Source organism: Homo sapiens, chromosome 1, assembly GCF_000001405.40.
Source record: "Homo sapiens chromosome 1, GRCh38.p14 Primary Assembly".
NCBI classification, from domain to species: domain Eukaryota; kingdom Metazoa; phylum Chordata; class Mammalia; order Primates; family Hominidae; genus Homo; species Homo sapiens.
Genome location: NC_000001.11, coordinates 173,825,472 through 173,851,482, shown reverse-complemented (window position 1 = coordinate 173,851,482; position 26,011 = coordinate 173,825,472). Strand labels below are relative to the sequence as shown.

At 40.3% G+C, this 26,011-nt stretch overlaps 1 protein-coding gene across 3 annotated transcripts in view, besides 1 other annotated feature; it reads right to left on the bottom strand.

Annotated features, from left to right (window-relative positions):
* The window catches only part of DARS2 (aspartyl-tRNA synthetase 2, mitochondrial), a 33,874-nt gene that overhangs the window by 7,064 nt on the left and 799 nt on the right, over window positions 1-26,011 (bottom strand). For 2 of the 3 annotated variants that reach the window (NM_018122.5, NM_001365213.2), the window contains exons 2-13: window positions 24,697-24,796; window positions 23,084-23,150; window positions 20,722-20,823; window positions 19,853-19,948; window positions 17,984-18,107; window positions 16,964-17,010; window positions 14,437-14,543; window positions 13,224-13,293; window positions 11,937-12,116; window positions 10,510-10,617; window positions 6,192-6,254; window positions 1,004-1,156 (exon numbers count right to left, since the gene is read on the bottom strand). In NM_018122.5, coding sequence (NP_060592.2) covers window positions 1,004-1,156; window positions 6,192-6,254; window positions 10,510-10,617; window positions 11,937-12,116; window positions 13,224-13,293; window positions 14,437-14,543; window positions 16,964-17,010; window positions 17,984-18,107; window positions 19,853-19,948; window positions 20,722-20,823; window positions 23,084-23,150; window positions 24,697-24,796 — 1,217 coding nt within the window. The remainder of the gene's footprint in view (window positions 1-1,003; window positions 1,157-6,191; window positions 6,255-10,509; window positions 10,618-11,936; window positions 12,117-13,223; window positions 13,294-14,436; window positions 14,544-16,963; window positions 17,011-17,983; window positions 18,108-19,852; window positions 19,949-20,721; window positions 20,824-23,083; window positions 23,151-24,696; window positions 24,797-26,011) is intronic. The other variant, NM_001365212.1, reaches the window with a different exon arrangement.
* Window positions 24,915-25,428: an enhancer, noted in NCBI's record as "H3K27ac-H3K4me1 hESC enhancer chr1:173795193-173795706 (GRCh37/hg19 assembly coordinates)". NCBI's record gives its function as "activates a minimal SCP1, AML or CMV promoter by ChIP-STARR-seq in naive H9 embryonic stem cells {active_cell/tissue: H9 hESC(naive)}" and the evidence as "EXISTENCE:reporter gene assay evidence [ECO:0000049][PMID:30033119]".

Below are 26,011 nucleotides of genomic sequence, written 5' to 3'. Positions count from 1 at the left end.
TGGTCTGATCCGTCCCTCCACAATTTACGAATGCATGATGTATAAAAATTTGAGACTCCTAATTTTCTTCATTTGTGAAATCTTGACACTGAAAATATTTTTTCATGGTTATATGACTAATTTCACTACCCCTTAATCTAAGTGGCTTTTCTAATTAGGGTCAGGTCTAATCTATTTAAGTAATGCCAATGGAGGCTGGTAGCTATGAAAAAAAACCCTTTTTTTTTTTTTTTTGAGACGGAGTCTGGCTCTGTCAGCCAGGCTGGAGTGCAGTGGCACAATCTCGGCTCACTGCAACCTCCCCCTCCCAGGTTGAAGTGATTCTCCTGCCTCAGCCTCCCGAGGAACTGGGACTACAAAATACAAAAATTAGCCCGCCACCACACCCAGCTAATTTTTGTATTTTTAGTAGAGATGATGTTTCACCACGTTGAACAGGCTGGTCTCAAACTCCTGACCTCAGGCGATCCACCCACCTCGGCCTCCCAAAGTGCTGGGATTACAGGCGTTAGCCACCATGCCCGGCCAACCCTTAAGTTTTTATACAGTGCATTATAAAGCACTATAAGATTTATGCAGGCTGGGCACGGTGGCTCACGCCTGTAATCCTAGCACTTCAGGAGGCTGCGGCGGGTGGACTGCCTAAGCTGAGGAGTTTGAGACCAGTCTGGGCAACATGGTGAAACCCTGTCTCTACTAAAATACAAAAATTAGTCGGGTATGGCAGCGTGCGCCTGTAATCCCAGCTACTCAGGAGGCTGAGGCAGGAGAATCTCTAGAACCCGGGAGGCGGAGGTTGCAGTGAGCCAAGATTGCACCACTGCACTCCAACCTGGGCAACAGAGCAAAACTCCGTCTCTTAAAAAAAAAAAAAAAAGATTTATGCAGAGCAGCTCCATTTTATGAATTAACAGTCTACAGTTCAAACGTATACTATATACATAGGAGAGTAAGGCATTGTTCAGCATCAACAGCACTGATGCTTGGAAGTAATTTTTCTTACTGCTTTATTGTGCTCTCCAGCAGTTAGTAGGACCACATCTTCCTCTTGGGTCTCCATTAGTCTGATTAATTCCAGTCTTTGTGACTCCATTATGAAATTAGCAACTGGAGAATTCCAGTTTCTATTGGCGTTAAGGAATACAGGTAAGATTTCCTGTGTAAAAGAAAAAGACTTATTCACGTTTTTTTTTTTTTTTGAACAGTGGGATTAATTTATCTTCTTATAATACAAAGATTTCCGGTTCCCAATAGAAGAGAATTTAAAAGAGATTGTCTCTATTATCTCCATGAACCCATTCAAAATGATACTAAGGGAATTTTATAAAGTAGGCTTGGCACGGTGGCTTATACCTGTAATCCCAGCACTTTGGGAGGCTGAGGTGGGTGGATCACCTCAGGAGTTCAACACCAGCTTGGCCAACATGGTGAAACCCCATCTCTACTAAAAATACAAAAAGTAGCTGTGCCAGTTCTGTGCACCTGTAATCCTAGCTACTCAGGAGGCTGAGGCATGAGAATCATTTGAGCCTGGAAGGTAGAGGATGCAGTGAGCTGAGACTGGGCCATTGCACTCCAGCCTGGGTGACAGAGTGAGACTCAAAAAAAAAAAAAAAAAAAAGTCATTTCAACATAATGAAAAAAAGGGGGAGGGGATGAAGAATGGAGAATAATATCAGCAGATGAGAGATTTCTGCGAATTTTTGGCAGACTGCAAGTGAACTGAGTAGGAATGATTAAAGAAGCAAGGTGCAGGAAGGTCTGGCATAAAGAACAATGGAGGCAGCCTCAGCACAAGAAGGAACTGATTTTACCCTGCAGAATTCTGGAGAGGCTCAGGACTCTTAAGCCTTGAGTGCCTAGAGCAGCCTTGCTGCTCATGCTAAACTAAACCTAACCATTTACAAAGCCTCTCTCTTGAGCTTCCAACCAGCTTTTTTTTTTTTTTTTTGAGATGGAGTCTCGCTCTGTCACCCATGCTGGAGTGCAGTGGCCTGATCTTGGCTCACTGCAGTCTGCCTCTCGGGTTCAAGCAATTCTCCTGCCTCAGCCTCCCTAGTCGCTGGGATTACAGATGTGTGTCAACATGCCTGGCTAATTTTTGTATTTTTAGTAGAGACGGGGTTTCACTATGTTGGCCAGGCTGGTCTCAAACTCCTGACTTCAAGCGATCTGCCCGCCTTGGCCTCCCAAAGTGCTGGGATTACAGGCGTGAGTCACTGCACCCGGCCCCAACCAGCTTTTAAAATGCCCCTTTCTTGAATATGTACAGATAACCAACAATCACTGTACATTGAAGAAACTCTGCAGCATTAAAAAAAAAAAAAAGACCAAGATAAACCCAAAAAATTAGCCCCAGAGAAAACATAAGTTATGGACCAAAAGAGAACTTGAATCCTCAAAGGTACTCAAAAATATATTTTATGAATAAAACCAGAATAAGATGCAGTGAAAAAAGCTACTGGGAAATAAAAAAAAATTCAACAGAAGAGTTGAAGAAATCCCCAGGAAAATAGAACAAGACAAAGAAAATGGTGAAAAATGACATGCAAAAGAAAAGAGGTTAAATTGGTTTGACATACAACTAGTAGAAATTCCAAAGAGAGACTAGAAAAAATGATGAGGTCAAAATCATTAGATAATAAAATAATTTTCTACACATAAAAAGACATAAACCTTCGTATTGAAAGGGCTCTTCAAGTGTGTAACACATTAAATGAAAAATGATCAAAAGGCAAACAAACTCTGAAATTTCAGAACATAAAGAATCAGAAGGCAAAAAGCTTCCAATGAGAAAAAACCAGCTCTGCTATAATGGAATAAATTCACACAAGCATCAAAGCATCAGACTTCTCATCAGTAACAACAGATGGGAGAAGAAAGTAAAGCAATGCCTTAAATGTTCTAAAGCTGTGCTGTCTAGCAATGCACTGTTGCTATTTACATTTAAATTAATTAAAATGAAATAAAGTAAAAAGTTCAGCCCTTTAGTTGTACTATCCTATTTCAAGTGTTCACTAGCGACATTGGCTAGCAACAACTACACCGAACAATGCAGACATAAAACGTTTCCATCATTACAGAAAGTTTTATTGGACAGCACTCTTCTAAGATGATATGGCTGTCAATTCAAAATTTTGTACTAAGCCAAATTATTATTGATCAAGTGTGAGGTTTTAAACATAAAGACATTTTGTAAGAACTCAGTAAGTTGATCTCTCACATGCTTTCTTAGGAAGTTACTTGATTACATACTCCAACACAAAAAAGAAAGAGGAAAACCTGGGATCCAGGATGGGTGGCTTCAACTCAGAAAAGAATGAAGAAAAGGGCCGGGCACGGTGGCTCACGCCTGTAATCCCACCACTTTGGGAGGCCGAGGTGGGCGGATCACGAGGTCAGGAGATGGAGACCATCCTGGCTAACACAGCGAAACCCCATCTCTAGTAAAAATACAAAAAAATTAGCCGGGCGTGGTCGCGGGCGCCTGTAGTCCCAGCTAGTCAGGAGGCTGAGGCAGAAGAACGGCGTGAACCTGGGAGGCGGAGCTTGCAGTGAGCCGAGATGGCACCACTGCACTCCAGCCTGGGCGACAGAGTGAGACTCCCGTCTCAAAAAAAAAAAAAAAAAAAAAAAAAGGTTCAGAAAGACAGCTGTGCAGAAGGTACAGAGTAACTAGGTGAGGTCTGTATATGTGAGCCTCATCTCTCATGACAGGAAGTTAACAAGGTTTAAATGAATTAAGTAAAAAGAAAAAAAAAGTATGTAGAGATATTTCCAAAAACAGAGATACTCTGGCAGAATACTAGGATGGATGGGGCAGGCTAGAGCAAATGATTATTGCATTTCATCATTAATGGTTCTTTATTTTTTGAACCATGTGTATGCCATATGTTGCTAAAAACACATAAGATCTTCTGAAAGCAATTAGAAGCCAAATCAAGTTAAAACACTCATAAAAAATAGTAGTAGTAATACCCATTTCTTATATAAAAGTTCAGGAAATTAGGAAAGAAAAAGAAAACAGGAGAAGAGAGAGAAGAATGAAAGAAGAAAATGTAATAATAGTCCCATCAACTGAAAGCTGCCAAAGTTAACCTTCAGGCTTATTTCCTGGTCCTATGGTTCTTAGATGCAGATTTTATATACTAATAAAATAAAAATAAACAAAATTGGAAGATAAAGGGTTGCCAATTTTTAATTTTATAAAGAAAAGACATATTTCATCCCCCCGCCATCCCCACCGCCGACAGAGAAAAAAAGGATAGTTCTTTAAATTTGTTTAACTTTATGAAAAGCTTGTTATATTGCCCTGACTTTTCTGATTTTGTCTCAACCCATTTTGGGAACCACTAACCTGATCTTTTTTTCTTATATAAAAATCTACTTATTGTTCGTTGTGCTTGAGGTATGAGGCTTGGGAAATAGTGGTAGTAGAGGTAGGTAGTCCATTTTCAATATACAAATATAGTGTTTTTACATGGTTATAATCAGTATAAATATAGTCCTATAGCCTCCTTTTCTTACATATCATTATAAGAGCATTTTTCCTCTATTAAGTCTTAGAAAACAAGATTTTAAATAGGAACTTTAATATTAATTCCTTTGATTATAGCATAATTTAATTACTCCTATATGGTTTCATTTTATTCCTGTTATCATACCTAAGATTCTTTCCTTTTTTTTTGAGACAGGGTCTCACTGTGTCACCCAGGCTGGAGTGCGGTGGGGTGAACACAGCTCACTGCAGCCTCGATCTCCTGGGCTCAAGTGATCCTCCCACCTCAGCCTCTCAAGTAGTTGGGATGACAGGTGTGTGCCACCATGCCCAGCTAATTTTTTTTCTGTTTTTTGTAGAGACGAGGTCTCACTATGTTGCCCAGGCTGGTCTCAAACTTCTGGGCTCCAGTGATACTCCCACCTTGGGCTCCCAAAGTGCTGGGATTACAGGTATGCGCTTCCGTGCCTGGCTGGATCCTTTATTTTTTTTAGAGACAGGGTCTCACTCTGTCACCCAGGCAAGAATGCAGTGGCATAATCATAGCTCACTGCAGCCTTGAACTCCTGGGCTTGTGATTCTCCTGCCTCAGTCTCCCAAGCAGCTGGGACTACAGACATGTGCCACTATGCCCAGCTAATATTTATTTATTTAGAGACTGAGTCTTGCTCTGTGGCCCAGGCAGTAGTGCAGTGGCGTGATCTCAGCTCACTGCAACCTCCACCTCCTGTGTTCAAGCGATTCTCCTGCATCAGCCTCTCAAAGTAGCTGGGATTACAAGTGAGCACCAACACACCCGGCACATTTTTGCATTTTTTTTTTTTTTTGAGACAGAGTCTTGCTCTGTCGTCCAGGCTGGAGTGCAGTGGCACAATCTCGGCTCACTGCAAGCTCCGCCTCCTGCGTTCACGCCATTCTCCTGCCTCAGCCTCCAGAGTAGCTGGGACTACAGGCCCGCGCCACCACGCCCAGCTAATTTTTTTGTATTTTTAGTAGAGACGGGGTTTCACCATGTTAGCCAGGATGGTCTCAATCTCCTGACTTCGTGATCCGCCTGTCTTGCCCTCCCAAAGTGCTGGGATTACAGGCGTGAGCCAACGCGCCCGGCCAATTTTTTTTATTTTTAGTAGAGATGGGGTTTCGCCATATTGGCCAGATTGGTCTCAAACTCCTGACCTCAAGTGATCCGCCTGCCTTGGCCTCCTAAAGTGCTGGGATTACAGGTGTGAGCCACCGTGCCCAGCCCAATTTTTTTTCGAGATGGAATCTTGCTCTGATGCCTAGGCTGGAGTGCGGTGGTGCGATCTCAGCTCACTGTAGCCTCGACCCCCAGGCTCAGGTGATTCTCCCACCTCAGCCTCCTAAGTAGCTGGGACTAGGGGTGCAACTGGGCAGCATGGTGGCCTGAGCCTGTAGTCCTAGCTACTTGAGAGAAAGAGGCAGGAGCATTGCTTGAGCCTAAGAAATCAAGGCAGCAGTGAGCTGTTATGGCAACACTGCACTCTAGCCTGGGCGACAGAATAAGACTACATCTTCAAAATAAATATATAAATAAAATAAAAAGTAAATAAAAGCAGAAGAATGATCTGAAATAACAAGATGCTCAAAACTAATGATAATGATAGTTTAGTTAATAATAGTTAAAAATATTGAATCTGTATAAGGAAAAAAACTGCTCTAATTAACTCCTTACCTGATTAAAATGGTCAGCTGCAAAGTTTCTAATGGATTCAATGTCTTTCCTTTTTAAGTATTTCTGATGAAAGAAAAATCAAAGTAAACTTGTCAGTATGACACTTAGCTTCATAAACATGGTTATGCGATCAAATGACAAATATATTTTGTGTCTTTCTATTACAATAGTAAGATTTAATAAAAATTCAATGTCTGGGCTGGGCGCGGTGGCTCATGCCTGTAATCCCAGCACTTTGGGAGGCTGAGGCGGGTGGACTGCTTGAAAGTTGGGAGTTCAAAACCAGCCCGACCAACATGGTGAAACCCCGTCTCTACTAAAAATACAAAAATTAGTCTGGTATGGTGGCAGGTGCCTGAAATCCCAGCTACTCGGGAGGTTGAGGCAGGAGAATCACATGAAACCAGGAGGCAGAGGCTACAGTGAGCCGAGATTGTGCCACTGTACTCCAGCCTGGGTAACAAAGTGAGATTCTGTCTCAAAAAAAAAAAAAAAAAAAAAAAAAAAAAAAAATCCAATTTCTGCTACCAAATGACACATTTTTAAAGCTTGTTACAGTGCTTATTTTTTCCAGTTATGCAGATTTTTTTTTTTTTTTTTTTTTTTTTTTTTTTTTTTTTTTGCGATGGAGTCTAGCTCTGTCACCCAGGCTGGAGTACAGTGGCGTGATCTCAGCTCACTAAAACCTCCACCTCCCAGGTTCAAGTGATTCTCCTGCTTCAGCCTCCCAAGTAGCTGGGATTACAGGTGCCCACCACCACACCTGGCTAATTTTTGTATTTTTAGTAGGGATGGGGTTTCACCATATTGGCCAGGCTGGTCTTGAACTCCTGACCTCATGTGATTGGCCAGCCTCGGCCTCCCAAAGTGCTGGGATTACAGGTGTGAGCCACCACGCTGGGCATGCAGCTCTTATTGGAAATAGCTGTGAATGTATTCCACAGGAGACCCTCTATATCTAATATGCAGGATAAATGTTCAACATGAATGTCTACAACTGAATTGTGAAAGAAAACTTTCAGATCAATAAAAGGATTCAGAATTTGATTATTTGAGGTTTCTTAAAATCTTTCTTTTGAAATTATCTCAGTGTCTTTCAAGTGAGACATTATGGTTATCATGTTACATAACTTTGAAATGATCCAAACACTTAACATGGTTTGATGTTTTGGGGTGTATTCCCCCTCCTTTCGAGAGCATGATGTTTTATCAGATCCCCTATGTGAGAACTTCGAGTGAACTCCCTCTTCCCCCCAGGAATGTTACCTCAAACCTTATCATAACTCCCATGTGTGAATTACTGACCTCAACTACTGGACTTCAAAAATACATATAAACTTAAGAGTTCGACAGACACTTTGATAGCACATGCTGTGACTGGCTATACTCTGTCAACTGCTTCTCCTACAGCCAAGAGATGGGTGATACCCTGTTAGTCTTGGAGCTAATCTCTGAAGCCTCACCCACCCACACTGGCACTGCCCTCTAGCATCGAGGGACCTTAGATACAGTGTGTACTGTGGTGGTCAAACCAGCTTCTCCCAAGAACAGCTCATATAAGAGTACACCTCAAACTTTAATTAGACTTTACCTTCCCCAGAGGACTACTTCCATCCTAATAGAGCAAGTGGACTTTAATAATTTTGGAACTCACTCGCTATGTGATTAATGCACCTCAGCTACTGAGTGTTTTCCCTGTGAGGATTGTTCATGTTATTCTTTCTTTTTTTTTGAGAGGGAGTCTCACTCTGTTGCCCAGGCTGGAGTGCAGTGAGGCAATCTCAGATCACGGCAACCTCCGCCTCCGGGGTTCAAGCGATTCTTCTGCCTCAGCCTCCCGAGTAGCTGGGACTACAGGTGCGCACAACCACACCTGGCTAATTTTTTACATTTTTAGTACAGACGTGGTTTCACCATATTGGCCAGGCTGGTCTTGAACTCCTGACCTCGTGATCCGCCCGCCTCAGCCTCCCAAAGTGCTAGGATTACAGGCATGAGCCACCACGCTTGGCCCTTATTCTCTCTCTCTTTTAAGCATTGTGAACCTAAGAAAAAATTTTCTTTGTATGGCAATAAACCATGTGATTTGTGAAATCATACTTTAACCATCTTATTTCTCCCATATGCCACATATCATTAACTATATTAATGTGGCATTTAACTAGGTACGGAAGGTATAAAAAGATGAAAACATGATCCACACTCCTGCAGTTCTTATATCTACTTGAGAAAGAACAAACTTGAAATGGTGTAAATAATGATAGGCAAAATATCATACTGAGCTTACCTGAACATATTTCTTATGTCTGGACTAGAGTATGGACAATAAATTACTTTTTTTTTTTTTTTTTTTAAGATGGAGTGTTGCTCTGTTGCTCAGGCTGGAGTGCAGTGGTATGATCTCATGCTCACTGCAACCTCTGCCTACTGGGCTCAAGTGATTCTCCTGCCTCAGTCTCCCAGGTAGCTGAGATTACAGGCACCCACCACAATGCCCAGCTAATTTTTAAATTTTTAGTAGAGACAGGGTTTCGCCATGTTGGCCAGGCTGGTCTCAAACTCCTGACCGCAAGTAATCCACCCGCCTTGGCCTCCCAAAGTGCTGGGATTACAGGCGTGGGCTACCGTGCCCCGCATGACAATAAATTACTTTTTACTGAATATATGAAGTAAATAAAAAGTAATGAGGGGCCAGGCATGGTGGCTTACGCCTGTAATCCCAGCACTTTGGGAGGCCGAGGCGGGTGGATCACCTGAGGTCAGGAGTTTGAGACCATCCTGGCTAACATGGTGAAACTCCATCTCTACTAAAAATACAAAAAAAACTTAGCTGGGCATGGTGGCATACGCCTGTAGTCCCAGCTACTCAGGAGGCTAAGGCAGGAAAATCGCTCGAACCTGGGAGGCGGAGGTTGCAGTAAGCCAAGATCGCGCCACTGCACTCCAGCCTGGGCGACAGAGCAAGACTCACTCTAAAAAAAAAAAAAAAAAAAAAAAAAAAAAAAAAGAAAGTAATGAGACTGAGTTCCTGAGTTCTTACTCCATTCTGAATATAATGCTTATGTATCCAAATGAGTATAGACTTTCAAAATCATAATCTTATTTAAAATATAACTGGAATACTTCTTATGAAATTATTTTTTAAAGCAGATGTACTACCTACAGAAAAGAGACGTGTACCGTTGCTTTAGAGTCAGCACTTGCTCAGCCCAACCATTCTCTCTCTCTCTTCTACTCCCACTTCTTCCCCTTCCTTTTTGCTTTTTTAGCTCCATCTCCTTTTATTTCCCTGTTATTAGTGCAACTGAGATGAGAACTCTCAGAAGATAAAGAATCAACATGCAATGGCCATGCTGGTGCTGATACAGGGCTAAGAGATAGACAGACAACTGAGGCTGCAGACAGAATACTACGTATTATTTTATGCTCACATATTATCCACAATGAAGTACAGGAGTACTTCATAGCATCATTTATTTATGTATTTATTTTTGAGACACGGTCTTGCTATGTTATCCAGGTTAGAATGCCGTGGCACAATCATGGCTTACTGCAGCCTTGAACACTTTGCCTCAAGTGATCCTTGGACCTCAACCTCCAGAATAGCTGGGACTACAGGTGTGAGCCACCACGCCAGGTAATTTTTGTAGAGATGAGGTCTATGTTCCCCAGGCTGGTCTCGAACTCCTGAGCTTAAGCAATTCTCCTGCCTTGACCTCCCACAGTGTTGGCATTATAGGTATGAGCTACTATGCCTGGCTGATAGCATTGTTTAAAAGGGGGGAAAAAAAAGAAAAAAGAAAAACACCCCGGATCTGGAATGTAAACTCACATTCATAAAATTTTATTGTTCTCTACTTATGGTTTTAGAAATACTTTAGATTCTGTATAAAAATACCTACTTTTTTTTTTTTCAAACACAGTTTTGCTCTTATTGCCCAGGCTGGAGTGCAATGGTATGATCTCAGCTCACTGCAACCTCTGCCTCCCAGGTTCAAGCGATTCTCCTGCCCCAGCCTCCCAAGTAGTTGGGATTACAGGCACATGCCACCACGCCTGACTAATTTTTTGTATTTTTTAGTAGAGATGGGGTTTCACCATGTTAGCCAGGCTGGTCTTGAACTCCTGACCTCAAGTGATCCACACGCCTCGGCCTCCCAAAGTGCTAGGATTACAGGTGTGAGCCACCATGCCCAGCAAAAATCCCTATTTTTATTTAAAAAGAATTGTTCTTTCTGAAGTTTAAATATGACAGTATTGGACAAAGTTACTTCCAAAGCATACATTCTAGAGAAACATAGAACTGTACTTCACTTACTGCTCCTTCAGGGATACATATGGCTTTCACAGTTCCATGGGGCTTACTAAGTGCATCTTGAAGAAATCCAATCTCTGTGTTTCTAAACACATCACTGATATCTATAATCTGGAAAATGGGTAACAAAAAGAGATAACTAAATATGAAGTAATTTTTATCTGAAAACATTTTACAAACAAGATTTTAAAGAAGAGAATAGATCTTGATAATTTAACATTTATAGAATACATTCAAAGAGTGTTTACCATGGGTTAAGCAATATGACCAGTGTTTTACATATACTCATTCATTTCATATGAGGTTAGCACTCTTTATTATCCCTATTTCATAGATGAAACCAAGACACAGAAATAAGGAACTTGCCCAAGATGGCATAGCTAGTAAGTGGCAGAGCCAGAATTTAACACAAGCAGTCTGACTTAAGAACCAGATTAAGATTCCAGGCTCGGCGCAGAGGCTCATGCCTATTATCTCAGAACTTTGGGAGGCTGAGGTGGGCAGATCACCTGAGGTCAGGAGGTCAGCCTGGCCAACATGGCAAAATTCCATCTCTACTAAAAATACAAAAATTAGCCGGTGTGGTGGTATGCGCCTGTAATCCCAGCTACTCGGGAGGCTGAGGCAGGAGAATCGCTTGAACCCAGGAGGCCGAAGTTGCAGTGAGCCAAGATCTTACCACTGCACTCCAGCCTGGGCAACAGGGCGAGACTACGTCTCAAAAAAATACAAAAAAAGAACCACTATTCCATATTACAAACGAAGAAACAAGAAGTAGTTGAGTTGGCAGCTGTAAGTTGGTAGTTATGACTTTTTGTGTATTGTATTTTTTTCATTCTAAGAATTGACCACTGACTATTCACAGACCAGGCAGGACCAATTTCTAAAGAATGTGCACTGAGAACTGAGATATAGAAATGTCACTAGCATTACAGGGATCAAGGGATATTGCTCTTTAAGAGCAAACAAGTAGAGGCCTGGTAATGAAACTGTTCTATATAAATTCTACCCCTGCTTTAAATACTTACAGATAGTAATAATTTGAATAAACATTGTCATATGTTTGAGCTTTTTATGGACCAAGGAAACTTAGTAACTCCTTGGATTAAAAAAAAAACTGAAAAGGAAAGAATAGTTATTTTTTCTTTCAAGTTACCATTCATATCCATATAATCAATAACTTGCAAGTAATAAAAACTTTATAGCAAGAATCTCGCTCTTGGAAATGGATCTTGGAACATGAAAGATAGAAAGCACTGTATTGCTAACATGCTATTATTCTCTCTTGCTCTAGCTCTGTAACAACGAAGGTAACAAGGTAACAACAAAAATATCATCTAACAGTGTGTAACACTTGTCAATTTCAAAGTGGTTTAAAAAGACTGCAGGATTATTTGGGGACAGAGTCCTAGAAAAGTGAAGATAAGTACCTTCATTCCAAAGCGAGTGTCAGGTTTATCAGTTCCATAGGTGGCCAGCACCTCAGCAAAAGTCATAGTAGGAAAAGGAACAACCACAGGATCTTTGTCATTGGGCCAGGAATACTGGAGCAAACCCTCAATTAAACTCTGGATCCCAGTCTGGTCTACAAATGACATCTCTATGTCAATCTGAAACCAAAGTACCATATGGAAACTAATTTAGCCACAATATATACACATTTATATATTTTTCTGCTTTCAAGTTACTATAGAATTTTGCACATAATACATGCAGAGGGTATAAATATTATTGTACATCTCTTTTATGTCAGACACTGTGCTAATGGCCTTACATACATTAACTTGCTTAGTTCCCACAACCATTTCATGAAGGCTCAGAGAACTAAGTTACTTATTTGCGTATGTGCAATTAGTAAGCAGCGAAGCTACATCTGATCCCAGGTCTGTCCAACTCCAAAGCTCATAATTTTTTCACTTCAACACATGATTAAAATGCTATTGGCCAGGCGTGGTGGCTCACGCCTGTAAACCTAGCACTTTGGGAGGCCGAGGCGGGTGGATCACGAGGTCAGGAGATCCAGACCATCCTGGCCAACATGGTCAAACCCCATCTCTAATAAAAACACAAAAAATCAGCTGGGCATGGTGGCACGCATCTGTAGTCCCAACTACTTCGGAGGCTGAGGCAGCTGAATTGCTTGAACCTGAGAGGCAGAGGCAGCAATGAGCTGAGACCGCGCCACTGCACTCCAGCCTGGGAGACAGAGCGAGACTCTGTCTCAAAAAATAAAATAAATAAAATAATATAAAGTAAAATAAAATGCTATCATACAGAAAGCAAATCGTAACAGCTTTGGTAAGTCCACATATTAGATTAAAATATCAATATATAAAATTATTCATAATATATAAGAGATTTGTTTTAAGGACTTTATCATGAACATTAGAACACTTTAGGAACTTCTGGCATTCCTTAGTTGCTGACCACATTCTTTATGAAAAGGACACATGCTCGTTTTGGCAGCACACATACTAAAATTTGAATGACAGTGTGGCCCCTGTGCTATCCAAGGAAAGAAAAAAATTTAAAAAAGGACACATGAAATGAATAAAAAAAAAAGAATAATTAGTTTCTCAACTGCAGGTGAGTTTAATTAAATATCTGATGGATAAAATGTAATGAGAAGTAAAGTATTAATACTGCACTGGTCTTGAAAATACTATTTCAAAATAGTAAGCCTGAATTTTAAGAAACAAGTGAATATAACTTTGTACCTGAGTAAACTCAGGCTGTCTGTCTGGTCTTGAACCTTCATCTCGATAACATCGGGCAACCTGAAAATATCTACAATTGAGAAATAGCATTAATTGAGTTATGATTCTAGGAAGACATACACACTTTTCCCCAAAAGTTTAAAGCAATGCAAGCTATAAAACAATGATACTTAAAAAACGTAAGAAGGGCCGGGCATGGCGGCTCATACCTATAATCCCAGCACTTTGGGAGGCCAAGGCGGGCAGATCATGAGGTCAGGCGTTCAAGACCAGCCTGGCCAACATGGTGAAACCCTGTCTCTACTAAAAATACGAAAATTAGCTGGGCGTGGGTGGCGTGCGCCTGTAATCCCAGCTACTCGGGAGGCAAGGGCAGGAGAATCACTTCAACCAGGGAGGCGGAGGTTGCAGTGAGCCGAGATTGCGCCATTGCACTCCAGCTTGGGTGACAGAGCAAAGACTCTGTCTCAAAAAAAAAAAAGTAAGAAATACTTTTATTTTTTATGATGCTTTAATCGAATTAGACATACAGCTGACCTATGAGAAGTTAACTATTCTATATATTGTTTTCAAAATAAACACTGGCACCTCTGGATATTCATGTATTTAGACTAGCATGCAAATCAGTCCATGCCAGCTCTTTTTATTAAAACATTTTTTTTAGCCCATGCTTCTTCATATATACTCTTTTGCTTTGGCCAAAGTGAAATCTTTACTGTGCCATGGATACACTTGAGACTTTCTGTGCTATGCCATTCCAACTCTCATCTTCACCTGCTGAAATGTAGCTCTGTCCTCAACGATCTAGCTCACAAAGTTTTCTATATTTCCTCAAAAAGTATAATTTTAAAGCTCTTAACACCTAACTTGCAAATCTCAATACATTTACATTTGGTTTATATCACAGTTGGTTTTATTCATTATCCTATTCTGGCTTACTAGCCTTAACACCTTGAGAGTAGAACCTATTCTTTTTTTTTTTTTTTTAAATCCCCTCTCACATCTACTACCATAGAGCTTTGTACATAGTGGCCACCCAATAAACCTTTAATAAAGGATGACTATAAATTATGAGGGCATTTTATAAGTATTCTCCAAACTCTCATAAATTTTCTATCCTTCTCTTGAGAACAGAGAGGATTTTGTGTTTCCTTTTTTCCCTTTGTTTTTCTCTTTTCCTTTTCTGACAACTGCTAGCATAAAAAAAGCTCACCTGTCTAAACCGCCAACCATCAGAAGTTGCTTAAACTGTTGAGGACTCTGAGGGAGAGAATAAAACTTTCCAGGTTCCCTGGATGGTACTAAAAACTCTTTGGCACCCTTTCAAAGAGAGAGAAAGAGAGAGAAGACAGATTATTAAAAAACAAAAACAAACCCAAAGTATAACTAACTAGTAGAAGTTGTTACTTCAGTTTATCAATGAATGACTAAAGAACAAAGTTCCTACAATGACAGAGACAATTTCCTGCTTATCTTTGAGTCCCTAAAAAGACTTGGACATAGTAGACTTTAAACACCATTGTATACGGTAGGTGTTAAGTTTATGCTTGCGGAATTGAATTTCCAATTTTGTTACTAGATGAATGAATTTTGTGTATCATTTCCTATCCAAGTAATTCTTAATTGCATTTCCAAATTAAACTGTAGTTTTATAATTTCATAGACTGTATAAATCGAGTAACTATTAATGTTTAGAAATGTCTTTTTTTTTTTTTTGAGACAGAATCTTGCTCTTGTCACCCAGGCTGGAGTGCGATGGCACAATCTCGGCTCACTGCAACCTCCTCCTCCCAGGTTGAAGTGATTCTCCTGCCTCAGCCTCCCGAGTAGCTGGGATTACAGGTGCCTGCCACCACCATGCCCCGCTAATTTTTGTATTTTTAGTAGAGACGGGGTTTCGCCATGTTGGCCAGGCTGGTCTTGAACTCCTGACCTCGTGATCTGCCCGCCTTGGCCTCCCAAAGTGCTGGGATTACAGGTGTGAGCCACTGCGCCCGGCCAGAAATGTCCATTTTTATTTATTAAAAAAAATTTCTTTTTGAGACAGAGTCTTGGTCTGTCACCCAGGTTGGAGTGCAATGGTACAATCTGGACTCACTGCAAACTCTGCCTTCTGGATTCAAGCGGTTCTCCTGCCTCAGCCTCTCAAGTAGCTGGGATTATGGGTTCCCGCCACTGCACCTGGCTAATATTTTTTTTTTTTGAGACGGAGTCTTGCTCTGTTGCCCAGGCTGGAGTGCAATGGCGTGATCTTGGCTCATTACAACCTCTGCCTCCTGGGTTCAAGCAATTCTCCTGTCTCAGCCTCCTGAGTAGCTGGGACTACAGGTGCCTGCCACCATGCCCAGCTAATTTTTTTTGTATTTTTAGTAGAGACGGGGTTTCACCATATTGGTCAGGCGGGTCTTAAACTCCTGACCTCAGGTGATCCATCTGCTTCGGCCTCCCAAAGTACTGGGATTACAGGCGTGAACCACCGTGCCTGGCCTAATTTTTGTACTTTTAGTAGAGACAAGGTTTCACCATGTTGGCCATGGTTGGTCAGGCTGGTCTCTAACTCCTGACCTCAGGTGATCTGCCCACCTTGGCCTCCCAGAGTGCTGAGATTACAGGTGTGAGCCACTGTGCCTGGCCGAAAAATGTCAATTTTTAATATATAAGAGATTTGTTCTTTAAAATAATTTTTTTTCTTTTCCATTTTTTTTTCTTTAGGGTCTTTAAGACAAGAGATACGGTCTTGTTGCCCAAGCTGGTCTTGAACTCCTGGGATCAAGTCATCCTCCTTGCTTCAGCCTCCCAAAGTACTAAGACTACATGTGTGAGCCACCGCGCCCGGCCAATAGATTTGTTCTTAAAGAACCAATTCATTGGCTGGGCGCGGTGGCTCACGCCTGTAATCCCAGCACTTTGGGAGGCTGAGGCGGGTGGATCACCTGAGGTCAGGATTTCGAGACCAGCTGGGCCAACATGCGAAACCCCGTCTCTACTAAAAAAATACAAAAATTAGCCAGGTGTGGTGGTGCGCACCTGTAGTCCCAGCTACTTGGGAGGCTGAGGCAGAAGAATCACTTGAATCCAGTAGGCGGATTCAGGTGACAGAACGAGACTGTCTAAAAAAACAAAAACAAAAACAAAAAATACCAATTTATTAATGATTACATCTATAAAACTCAAATGAGACTGAGTAAGGTGGCTCACACCTGTAATCCCAGCACTTTGGGAGGCCAAGGTGTGCGGATCATTTCAGGTCAGGTGTTCGAGACCAGCCTGGCCAAAACGGTGAAACTCCGTCTCTACTAAAGTAAATACAAAAGTTAGCCGGGCATGGTGGTGCATGCCTGTAATCCCAGCTACTCAGGAGGCTGAGCCATGAGAATCGCTTGGATCCAGTAGGCAGAGGTTGCAATTAGCTGAGATCATGCCACTGCACTCCAGCCTGGGTGATGGAGTGAGACTGTCTCAAAAAAAAAAAAAAAACAAAAAAAAAAACCCAAAACAAACCAAAAAAAAAAAAAAAAAAAAAAAAACAAAAAAACTCAAAGGAAAGAAAATTTATGTGGAATAAAATGATTCTGACTCAAAATACCCAAATAATTTTCTCAATTCTTCAGAAAAACCTAGTTAATATGACCATCCTGAGGCAGTAAATAAAAGTGGACCAAGTGAATATAAAAGCAAAGTAGTCTAGCTTTATAACTAATAGGACATTATTAATAGACTGATTGAAGGAATATACATACCCCTGGGGTCCTCTTAAACAATGTGGGGGTTTCTATATCCACAAACCCTAAAAAGAGAGAAACATTATCACTTAGTAGATAGGAATGTGAAATTTGTCATATATGATGTCCACAATATAGTACAACAAATCTGAGGCTTCCCTTTAATTAAGAATTTTAGCTGAAATAAGCTACCAAGCCTACTGGTGCTGGTTTCTACAAATCTAAGAAGGAAGCTGAAGATTTTCATAAATACTATTCTGTTCATAAAGCATACTGTTCACATAAAATAATTCTAAATATTTAATGGATTCTTGTCTACTGAACTATTCTGATTTTTTAAATGTTCTGTTAGTGTAGAAATAACACAAATATAGCAGAAAAAGTCCAGGACTGAATGAGATGTCTAGTTTAATTCACATGACATTTTTGAGCTCCCAATAAGTGATGTATGCACATGATAAAGAATTAAGAAAACTGGCTGGGTATCGTGGTTCATGCCTGTAATCCCAGCACTTTGGGATGGTTAGGTGGGAGGATTGCTTAAACCCAGAAGTTTGAGACCAGCCTGGGCAACATAATGAGACCCTGTCTCTACAAAAAATTTTTAAAAATTGGCTGGGTGTGGTGGTGCATGTCTGTGGTCCTAGCTACTTGGGAAGGTGTGGTGGGAGGATCGGTTAAGCCTAAAAGGTTGAGGCTGCAGTGAGTTGTGGTAATGCCACTGCATTCTAGCCAGAGCAAAACTCCGTCTCAAAAAAAAAAAAGAAAAGAAATCTTATAGAAAAAGCCAAAGGGCTGTCCTGCCTTTGATGATGATGGGAAATACTATAATACATTAATCAATGTAATAGCGACTATCATCTTTATCATCTTTAAAATAATGTTAACTTTTCTTCAAAAACTACATTACACATTGAGTGAATTCCAGACTTCTGGCAACATCTTGACCTCATGCTAAGGAAAGGATACAATAAAACTGCTGAATAAAATAGAAGAGATGCTACAAAGCTCCAAAGAGCATCCAGGCATTTCTCTTACCATGCAGATTACAGAGATATTCCCGCATTTTCATGACCATCTGGGACCTCAGTCGCAGGTTATACTGCATTTGGAAACTACGCAAGTCTAAGTAGCGATACTGCAACCGAAGAGCCTCTGTTTTCTAAAGAAATTGAAAGATTTTTATATTTAAATATTTTTCAATATTAGAAAGGTATTATCTTTAGAAAGAGTTTGAATTTTCAAAAATTTTAGCTCTGTCTTTAGTTTCTATCATTAAGTAGCCCACTGTATGCTGTTAATTCCTACAACTTCTAAGTTTGTCATCAGTGCAGATTTTACATTTTTTTACTATTCATTATTAATAATATCACTCTTCACTGACTGAAATTTGCCTACTTTACTAAACATTTATCCATTAATTTAAGCCCATAGTTGAATCTTGAAAAAAATTTAAAGATTTCAAAGGTCTCTTAGAAAAATACACAGCACCATTATGCTGTATCTGGGCATGGTGGCATGTGCCTATAATCCCAGCTACTTGGGATGCTGAGGTGGGAGGATCACTTGAGCACAGGAGTTTGAGGCCAGCCTGGGCAATATAGCAAGACCCCATCTCCTAAAAAAAGATACATCAGAGTAGAAGATTCACCTGAATGGGACGCTGACTACAAGTGTAAAGAATGCAAAGGGACAGTGGATGGAATCTCCATGGCTGTACTAGTAGAAATAGTTTGCTTATTTTCTCTCTCTTTTTTTTTTTTTTTTTTGAGATGGAGTCTTGCTGTGTCACCCAGGCTGGAGTGCAGTGGCATGATCTCGGCTCACTGCAACCTCTGCCTCCCGGGTTCAAGCGATTCTCCTGCCTCAGCCTCCCGAGCGGCTGGGACTACAAGTGCCTGCCACCACGCCTGGCTAATTTTTGTATTTTTAGTAGAGACGGGGTTTCACCACATTGGCCAGGCTGGTCTCGAACTCCTGACCTTGTGATCTGTCTGCCTTGGCCTCCCAAAGTGCTGGGATTACAGGTGTGAGCCACCATGCCCAGCCTAGTTTGCTTATTTTCAAGGCTACAAATCTCTGCATCCCTCTTTGTGCTGAAAACTTAGGAAATGTCTATAACTTCTCTTTTTGAATGCTCATCTGGGGAAAACTATATATTTTCTTTTTCAAAATAAGGTCAACTCTATAATTACATTGCTCTTTCTAATTAGATAATTAAGTATTGAGAACTTAAATGTAAGACCAATTGGCCATGAACTTAAACGTAAGTATTGAGAACTTAAATGTAAGACTAATTGGCCATGAACTTAAATGTAAGACTAATTAATTAAGACTAATTAAAAATCTGTTAATAGATCAGTTTAAAAATTAGGAATATATAAGTCTATAAACTGTGACAAAGCTGAAAATCATATGAGTGTACAGCTCCATCAAGCCCTTAAACTTTGGCAAAGAACATTCTAAATTATGGTAATCCTATTTATATTTATATGCTTGGGAGGTCAAGCGTTGCTCTAAGCACACATTTTATCACTTAATAGATACAGGATCCCCTGTCCCATCTGGCCATTTCTAAGCTAGACATAAATTTCCTTTCAAATGTTAAACAATAGCAACGAAAAACTTGAATAATATAACACCTCAAGTTTTAAAGAGAGAATCACATTTTAATCTGTCTGAAAAAACAGTCTAGGTATTTAGGGACTGCAACAGTTTACTGAACTGTCATTATTTCAGGACAGTGTGCCAAGAAGTTGTAGAACTAAGAGAACACTTCATGATGTGTCTACAATAAAATGCTTAATTTTGTAGAAGTTAAACTTTTCTTTAAAAAACTCTGAAAATACTTGACTAGTCATCAACATTTTCTAGATACTCTATTTTATTAATAACAGAGGTTGGTACCTTCACGAAGTTCTTAATTTCAAAGGGCAGCTTCTTGCAGGCATTCAGAAGCTCAGCTGTTTTAACTTTGATTTCAATCTCACCTGTTGGCATTTTCTTGGAGAGTGAGAAGGAAGGGTTTTAAAAATTACTCATCAGGATATACACAAAATACACATTTGTAGAATCTATGCATTTATTTACATATGTAAAATGTGCAAAGTCCTTATAGTGTATAGTATAAAACATACATGTCTGTGCATGATTTTGACATTCTTATGCATATGTGGCTGATGTGTTCAGATATCAACAAATGTCATGGCATATCCTTGCAGTCTGATACTTGGGAGGCTGAGACAGGAGGATCACTTAAGCCCAGGAGTTCAAGACCAGCCTGGGTAATACTGCAAGACCCGTCCTGAAAAAAAAAAAAAAAGGGCCAGGCACGGTGGCTCACGCCTGTAATCCTGGCACTTTGGGAGGCTGAGATGGGCAGATCATGAGGTCAAGAGATGGTGACCATCCTGGCCAACATGGTGAAACCCTCTCTCTGCTAAAAATATAAAAATTAGCTGGGCGTGGTGGCATGCACCTGTAGTCCCAGCTACTCGGGAGGCTGAGGCAGGAGAATCACTTGAACCCAGGAGGCAGAGGTTGCAGTGAGCCAAGATCACGCCACCGTACTCCAGCCTGGTGACAGAGTGAGACTTAGCATGCATATTTACATAGATGTGTTTGTTTATAGTCAAGATTTTGAAATCTGTCAGTTCATTTGTAGAATTTATTCAACTTTAGTGCCTAATGTCCAGTCATGTGTTGCCAGAATGTGTACACAGATGGTGCAAATGCATACAAGCAAAAATTACACAGATATCTTCGAAACTACCTACTGGATTCTCTTGTCCTGCAGGACGGGAAATGACTGTACCAGACACTTGCACCACAGATTCCACAGGGGCTTCACATAAAATCTTCTTCACAGAGGCTGCCGACTACAGAACAAGGGGGAAAAGAGTTCTGAGAAACAAATGAACTTACAGGAATCTTCAGTAATTATAAGTAGATGGTTTAAAAAACGTTAATAGTCACAGCTTAATTACCATAAAGGCTGGGGCTGCTCCTTAATGACTTTATTACCAAATTTAGTAAAAACTGCATCCCCATTTTGACTCTATATAATACAGCAAGTAAAACTATTAGTTAAGAGCTTTAAAAAAACTTTCCTTAAAGGAAAATAAGGGTAAGAATGACTATTATTAGTGCAAACAAGTCCCACATACTTGAAAAGCAATTGTCTCCAGGGTTAGTCTTAGGGGCAGTTAAATCCCATAGCAATAATGGGTCAGAGTCAAAGGAGTTCTCCAGGGTTAGCTATACTCATCTCTGGATGTTGATCCCTAAAAGATAATTCATTGCTCTTTATTTATTTCAAAACTTAAGAGCTGAATAAATAATATTTTTCTTAGGCATACAAGCGTTAGTAAAAATTGCAATAGAAACCAACTTTGCCCAGTAAGTATGATGGAAGTTCTTTATTTTATCTAATTCTTTAATTTTAATTTTTTTTTTTGACACAGGGTATCACTCTGGTGTGCACTCTGGAGTGCAGTGGTGCAATTTTGGCTCACTTCAGCCTGAACCTCCTGGGCTCAGGTGATTCTCCCAACTCAGCCTCCCAAGTAGCTGGGACTACAGGCACATGCCACCACACCCAGCTAATTTTTTGTATTATTATTATTTTTTTGAGATAGAGTCTTGCTCTGTTGCCTAGGCTGGAGTACAGTGGCGTGATCTCGGCCCACTGCAACCTCTGCCTCTGGGTTCAAGTGATTCTTTTGCCTCAGCCTCCTGAGTAGTTGGGGTTACAGGAGCCCGCCACCACACCCGGCTAAATTTTTGTATTTTTAGTAGAGACGGGGTTTCACCATGTTGGTCAGGCTGGTCTTAAACTCCTGACCTCGAGATCCACCTGCCTCAGCCTCCCAAAAGTGCTGGGATTACAGGAGTGAGCCACCGCACCTGGCCAATTTTTTGTATTTTAGTAGAGACGAGGTTTCACTGTTGCCCAGGCTGGTCTCAAACTCCTGTACTCAATCTGCTGGCCTCGGCCTCCCAGAGTGCTGGGATTACAGGTGTGAGCCACCATGCCTGGCCTTGAATTTTTTAATTAAAAAAATTTTTTTTTCAGAATATCACTCTGTCATATTTTATCTAATTTCAATGGTAATTAAATTAAATACTTTTTTGAGCAGTAATACCGTCACATGGCTTCAAATTCAAGGGGTACAAAAAGATATAGTAAAAAGCTTCCCTCCTATCCTTGTTTTCAACGCCCTCAGTTCCTTCCCCCAGCAGCACCTAATGTTACCAGATACTTAGGTATCCTTCCAGAGACATTTCCTAACATATATACAAGCAAATACACACACACACACACACACACACACTGAATGTATATTCTGCATCCTTCCCCCAGTTTTTATACAGATGACAGCACTTAGAGTGCTGGAGTTTAACAGCTGCTCTTTTGTATACTCAAGAATACAGGGTTCTTCACTTAACAGTATTCCTTGGATTTTTTTTTCCCTATTAGAATAGAACTTCTTCATTCTTTTTTGTACGGCTGAGTAGAGTATTGTATTGTAAGAATATACATTATTTTTTAAGCCAGTCTCTTATTGGAGGACATCTGGGTGGTTCCCAATTTTTTTCCGTTAAAAAGAATCCTGAAATGAATATCCTTGTACATATGTCATTTTATATCTGTATAAGTCTAGATATAAGATAATTTACCAGAAGTGAAATTAATGGCTCAAAGGATATATGCATTTATAGTTTTGATATTGCCAAATTGCTCTCCCTTCAGCTAGTGCCAATTTGTACTCCCTCCAGGTATTGAGCACCTGCTTTCCCAAACACAGTGTGTTGTCAATCTAATGTGTTAAAAATGACAATTACATGCAGTTTCAATTCACATTTCTCTACCTATGAGTGAGGCTGGGCATACTTTCATTATGTCTACAAGCCATTTATATATTTTTTTCCTCTAAATTTTTTGTTCGTATCCTGGGTTCCTAATTCTACTGGGTCACTGGTCTTTTTGCTATGTCTTAACATTGCTTATATTTTTCAGTTTTCATTAACAATAAACTTCTGAATTTAAAACCTCTAACATATTCATCTAACTACTTAGCTTACCCCAGCAATAGCATCAAAGAAGCTTTTAGATAATAACAGGAAATTTTCTATTACCTCATCCTGGGGAATGATAACTTGAACAAGCCCATCGAAATCTCTTAGGACCAAGAATGTGTTTTGCCTGATTAATGGGGGGGGGGAAAAGAAACATTTTAAGATAAAATCTCTAAGTCCAAAGTTGAAGCATACAAAATAAAAAGCAAACAAAAATCCATGCAATTTTTCATGTTTCTTTTTTATGATAATTATAATTTTTCATGTTTTTTATGATAATTATGTACCTTCATTAGTTACATTCATGCAATTGTTATCTATGTAGCTCATTGCCAAAAAAAAGATTGTTTTTTATTTCAGTTTCAATTTTTATTGTCTACTTACCTGGTATATTAATCTTATACAGATGGCTTATTAATGAAAAATTATTATAGATGAACAATTAAAAGAAATTTCATTGGCTTAAGTCCTTTTAAGAAAATTTTATTAAATTTGGAAACTTTGCATATAGTAAAATCCAAAGATAGTATTTTAGCATAATAGAAACATCTGATGGATCATTTTTGAAATATAGCAATATAGTCTTTTTCTAAAAAAAGATACAATCTAACATTTTCTGGAAGAGTTCCAACTACTAATTTAATACCTCTATGAATCATCAAAAGGTCCCAGAAATGCCAACATTTTAACATCCAACCTCTATTTCTCATACTATCCTCAGCATCAGGAACAGGTACAGAAACCCTCTTCAGATTTGGGTTCAGGAAACAGTCACTAAACTTATGGGAAAAATATCCACCTACTTGGGACAAACTTTTTTTTTTTTCCTGAGACGGAGTCTCGTTCTGTTGCCCAGAGTGGAGTGCAGTGGCGCAATCTCAGCTCACTGCAACCTCTGCCTTCTGGGTTCAAGCAATTCTCCTTCCTCAGCCTCCTGAGTAGCTAGAATTACAGACGAGCATCACCCCGCCTGGCGAACTTTTTTTGTATTTTTAGTAGAGACGGGGTTTCATCATATTGGCTGGGCTGGTCTCGAACTCCTAACCTCGTGATCCGCCCGCCTCGGCCTCCCAAAGTGCTGGGATTACAGGCTTACACGCCAGGCTGGGACATATTCTTTAAGAAGGTCATATAACCTATGTATTTTGAATCTCTTCCATGTGAATTAATGTTCTATTCAGGCATGTTCTGGAATAGAGAGATGAACAACAACAAAAAATGGGCTCTGATCTTAAGGAATCACTGTTTATGTTTCTAGGCTTCTTCTCTACCTACATGGAATAAGATGAGCTTTTCCCCCATGCTATTGGAGTTTAACAGCTGGTTTATAGGAGGCTGGCCCATTTTTAATTACTGGTTATAGGAACTCTTCAGTCTTAGTAAGCCCAGTATCATTTCAGTCCACTGGTGGATCAAGCTTCGTTGTTATACCCTTCAACAGATGTTACTGAGATGTACCTACTGAGAATGACATTTGGGTCTTTCAAAATGTCTACTGAGAATGACACTTGGGTCTTTCAAAACTAAAACAAAGTTGAAAATTCAGTAAGTTCTTAATCCTGCAGGAGTTGCAAAACGTTTTATTCTTCGGACTGGTTGTAAATTAGTAAAGGTTTGGAATTGCCCTGGGAAAACCACCACCATGCATTCTTAGACTGTCTTTCTCAATTTACCTTCGGTACTGAATCCATCCACACAAGGTGACTTCTTGGCCTAAGTGAGACGAACGCAACTCTCCACATGTGTTGGTCCGGACAACAAAGCTACTGAATTCTTTAAAAAAAAAAAAAAAAAGAAACTTTAAAAGGCAAGATTAAAAATACATCACTTGCAGGTTGCTTAAAAATGAAAATTCTCAAAATATATCTTAGGTATGTCAGGGCTACAGGGGAAATTTATAAAATAAAATAAGTCAGAGTATGTAATTTAATTCATTCACTATTAAATTTACCTGCAAATGTGTCAAAAGCCAAGTGAATAACTGAATGTAAATTTCTGTCTTGTGTTAGGAAATCAAAATTTTTTTGATCTTCTAGCATTTGCATTGACCTAAAATCCTAATTACCCAATTCTTAATATTGCACATTTCTTCCTCAAATGAAATAGGATTTTAGAAACTGCAGAAATGGACGGTGTAGGAACTATTTAGCTTTAGTATGAATCTAGTGTTTAACAGCCACTTGTACACTAGAAAACACTATTATAATTCTGTGAAAAATGATTTTTTTTTTTTTTTGAGATGGAGTCTCGCTCTGTCGCCCAGGCTGGAGTGCAGTGGCGCGATCTCGGCTCACTGCAAGCTCCGCCTCCGAGGTTCACGCCATTCTCCTGCCTCGGCCTCCCCAGCAGCGGGGACTACAGGCGCCCGCCACCACGCCCGGCTAATTTTTTTTTTATTTTTAGTAGAGACGGGGTTTCACCGTGTTAGCCAGGATGGTCTCGATCTCCTGACCTCGTGATCCGCCCTCCTCGACCTCCCAAAGTGCTGGGATTAACGACGTGAGCCACCGCGCCCGGCCGAAGAAGGATTTTTTTAAGGCATCAACCAAAAGCAGAGTATTCTATATATTACGTGGTTACCTTTTTGTGGTCTTTCTAAAAACTCAGGGAAAAAAAACTGCCGTATAATGAATATAATGAGAGTGAATTTCGCTTCTACACATAAGGCTATCCAGTTAAGAACAGGGGAAAAGCCGGGCGCGGTGGCTCACGCCTGTAATCCCAGCACTATGGGAGGCGGAGGCGGGTGGATCACGAGGTCAGGAGATCGAGACCATCCTGGCTAACACAGTGAAACCCCGGCTCTACCAAAAATACAGAAAAATTAGCCGGGCGTGGTCGCGGGCGCCTGTAGTCCCAGCTACTCGGGAGGCTGAGGCAGGAGAATGGCGTGAACCCGGGAGGCGGAGCTTGCAGTGAGCGGAGATCGCGCCACTTCACTCTAGCCTGGGCAGCAGAGCGAGACTCCGTCTCAAATAATAATAATAA